The sequence below is a fragment of the Homo sapiens genome, chromosome 20 (assembly GCF_000001405.40).
Source record: "Homo sapiens chromosome 20, GRCh38.p14 Primary Assembly".
Classification (NCBI taxonomy): domain Eukaryota; kingdom Metazoa; phylum Chordata; class Mammalia; order Primates; family Hominidae; genus Homo; species Homo sapiens.
In genome coordinates this window covers 58859950-58863755 of record NC_000020.11, presented here as the reverse complement: position 1 = coordinate 58863755, position 3806 = coordinate 58859950, and the positions used below count along the sequence as shown (strand labels likewise).

General features: G+C 41.5%; 1 protein-coding gene across 13 annotated transcripts in view; it reads right to left on the bottom strand.

Annotated features, from left to right (window-relative positions):
* Positions 1 to 3806, bottom strand: part of GNAS (GNAS complex locus) — a 71445-nt gene that overhangs the window by 47437 nt on the left and 20202 nt on the right. The gene's annotated exons all lie outside the window — the stretch shown is intronic.

Genomic DNA, 3806 nt, shown 5'->3' with positions numbered 1-3806 from the left:
TTTGATGGAGGGGGAGAGGCAAGAGCCAGATAAATCAGAAGAGAGAGGCGAGGCTCTTGCAGCCCAAGTCTTAATTTCCTTGTAAGAATCGATGCTCACTCAGTGGTGACACTGAGCTTGTGAAAGCTCAACTGTGACACTCTTTAGAAAGTAGTACAGAGATTTTTTTCCTTCCCATTATCAACTCATTAAAGGAAGTTAAAAGTACTTACTCTGTCCCACACACAGTGTGTGTGTGACAATGTCGGAAACATTGACTGACTCATAATAAATTTGAGATTGGATAACAATTTATACTACCTTTATACCTCTCTCCTCGCCCCAAATTGAATCATTAAAAAACATTTAGTAAGATCCAATGTGCAGTTCTGTGGGCAGAACTCCACAAGTCAAAATACTCCTGAATTTAAATACTCCTGAGGTTTAACAAATTACTCTGCAATGCAATTTGGGATTTTACTCTAAGGAAGTACAACAGAGGCACACTCCCTTAATTTCCATTGCCCTGTCACAGATCAGTTGCCTAACATTCTTCCCATAGCATAGCTCCCAGTTGTTGCATGTAGAAAAGCGCTCCACTGATTCTAACTTGAAAGGTGTGTGACTCGTGTGTGCTCAAAGAGCATGTGACGATCAACATAATGAAAAGTCAAACATTGTTTTGTTGTGTTGTTCCCTACCTCTTTCTTGGAGGTCTCTTCATCTTCAATTCCCATGAGCTGGCCTGGTTCACCATCTGGCTGTTGGAAAGGAAACTAAACACATTTTCTTTCTTTCTTTTTTTTTTTTTTTTCATGTGTAATAACCATAGAACAATCCAAGCTCAGGTCCTTGAGCTCAGCCTCGGTATTGAGTTGATTTATAGTTAGGAGCTAATCAAAACAGAAGGGGGAGCTGGATAGGCAGGGGTGACAGGTGACACTTTTACAGGACAAGTCAAAAAGTAAGTTATCTCCTCATCTCTCTCTGGCACATCATTCACCTGAGAGTGACTTCACACAATTATAAATGTGGCAAGGTGGCATTCGTCTACTGCTTGAGTTGACCTTTATTTACAAAATGTAAACAAAGAATGTACTCTGAAAGGTGGAGACAGAAAGACAGAATGAGATGGCTGGCACTTTTAGAACTTACATGTTAATAGTCTAATGAGAAATGCAAAAAACAGAAAAACAAAGACACAAACAAAAAAAAAACCCAGCAACAACAGAAAACTAACCAAACCCAAAACCTCACTTGGAGCAGGGAGAAAAAAAAAAATCTAGGAGGAAAATAAATTTCTAAAATTAAAAGTCGAGGCTTGGTATGGTGGCTCACACCTGTAATCTCAGCACTTTGGGAGGCCAAGGTGGGCAGATCACCTGAGGTCAGGAGTTCAAGACCAGCCTGGCCAACATGGTGAAATCCCATCTCTACTAAAAAATATAAAAGTTAGCTGGGCATGCTGGCAGGCACCTGTAATCCCAGCTACTGGGGAGGCTGAGACAGGAGAATCACTTGAACCCGGGAGGCAGAGGTTGCAGTGAGCCGAGATCATGCCACTGTACTCCAGCTTGGGCGACAGAGTGAGACCCTGTCTCAAAAAACAAAAAACAACAAAAAGAACCCAAAAAACCCAAAACATGTTTTGGGGTACTTATATGTGCCAAGCACTGGGTTGAACATGTTACCCTTTAAAAAAGACTCCAGATTTCTCAAATTGTAACTGCTTCTAGTAGCTGGCCCTCTTTTTGGGGGAATTAAGAAAAAAAGGCCAGGTGCCATGGCTCACACCTGTAATCCCAGCACTTTGGGTGGCTGAGGCGGGCAGATCATCTGAGGTCAGGAGTTCGAGACCCGCCTGACCAACATGGTGAAACCCCGTCTCTACAAAAAATACAAAATTAGTGGGGCGTGGTAGTGCATGCCTGTAATCCCAGCTACTCGGGAGGCTGAGGCAGGAGAATCGCTTGAACCCGGGAGGCGGAGGTTGCAGTGAGACAAGATTGCACCACTGCACTCCAGCCTGCGCAACAAGAGCAAAACTCCGTCTCAATAAAAAAAAGAATATATCCTCTTTTTGAAATACCTCTCCTCTCCTTTGTTCAGGGGCTTCTTTCCCCCAATTTATATTCGTGCCTTCCTTCCAGTCTCTAAATTGCATAAAGGCCACTTAGGACTTGCAGACTTTTCAGCAGAACTCCCAAAGAGAGGCTCAGGTCCATTCTCCTCTTCCTTCCTAAAGAGAACATGATCTTATGCTTAGGGTGACCACAGGCCAGAACAGGAATCTGATGGGAACAAAAGCTCCATTCAGTCTAATTTAATGAAATCTGTGAAGGTGCGTGTTAGGGCCAGAGTCTCCTAGTCCCTATTCCAAGGGGTCAGAGATGGTCAATTAGGCTGCCCAGTGCTTTTAGTTCCCTCCGTTGACTTGTCTTAATTGATGGTGAGGACCTTGTGACATCAATTGGCCCTGTCCCTTCTCTCTTGAAAATTGCTACTCCTCCTGAGAAATTTGATTTTTAAATGGGCAAATGGCGTGAGTGGGTTTGAGAGGAACCTCACATTTGCTACTACAGCTAAAAGAAACCAAGAAGTGTAGAAACGAATTGTTGTTCACTACTGATGTGTCTCCTGAGAGTTATTTAGAGGCATTTGAAGAGCCACAATTTTGCTGGGGTTGGGGGTAAGTTTTATTTGGAGGAAAAACTAACTCTAAAAAGAAGAAGGAGCATGGCTGCCTTTGGGAATTTCAAATCTAGGTTACCTTCTCTAAAAATAAATTTATGTTTTGCTTAATACTAACCTTCCTGGCTGGGCACGGTGGCTCATGCCTGTAATCCCAGCACTTTGGGAGGCCAAGGTGGGCAGATCACCTGAGGTCAGGATTTCCAGACCATCCTGGCCAACATGGTGAAACCCCATCTCTACTAAAAATACAAAAAATTATCCAGGTGTGGTGGTGCATGTCTGTAATCCCAGCTATTCGAGAGGCTGAGGCAGGAGAATCCCTTGAACTGGGAGGCAGAAGTTGCAGTGAGCCGAGATAGTACCACTGCACTCCAGCCTAGGTGACAGAGCGAGACTCCATCTTAAAAACAACAACAACAACAACTAACCTTCCTGCATAAAAGTCAAAGGTGATTTCTAAGACCACGCACTGACTCTTGCTAAATGGAAATTAGCCTGGACTAGAAGTAAGGCATACTTTTAAAAAAAAATCACTACAAAGACTATGGAGCAGAGTTATTTTGATAAGATCATGAGATCCAGACCAGGATTCTAAACATTCTAACGCTATACTTATAATAGAGCTATGCAGAAAAGTAACTGCATTTTATTATTATAATGATTAATTATTATTTAGTGGAAACCTAAACAAGAAGAAAAGCTTTAGACCCTGCAAAAAAACAAAACAAAACAAAACAAAAAAACCAAAAAACTTTTAAAAAAACCTGCATTTAAAAAAAAAAAAAGGAAAACAGTAGCCCAACAAACTAAGACTGCAACGTTGCAGTGCTGGCAGATGAGTTAAAGCAAATGTGTAAATGAAATATTACCAAAGCAATGACAGCCATCTCAGAAATGGGGGAGCTCATGTTTCATGTATACTCAATGGACATTTATAACCAGGGATCTGTGCGTTTTGCTATAATTCAGAAAGTAGCAGACTACTCGACACGTGTCATTTGGCAAGGGATTTTAAGAGCACATAGTATACTTAGAATAATCATGCTTTACATTTAAATAATGCTTTATAGCTTATCATCACATTTCTGGTAAGCATTATCTGAATTTGAAATTTGTGATCCTTTACCTACCTT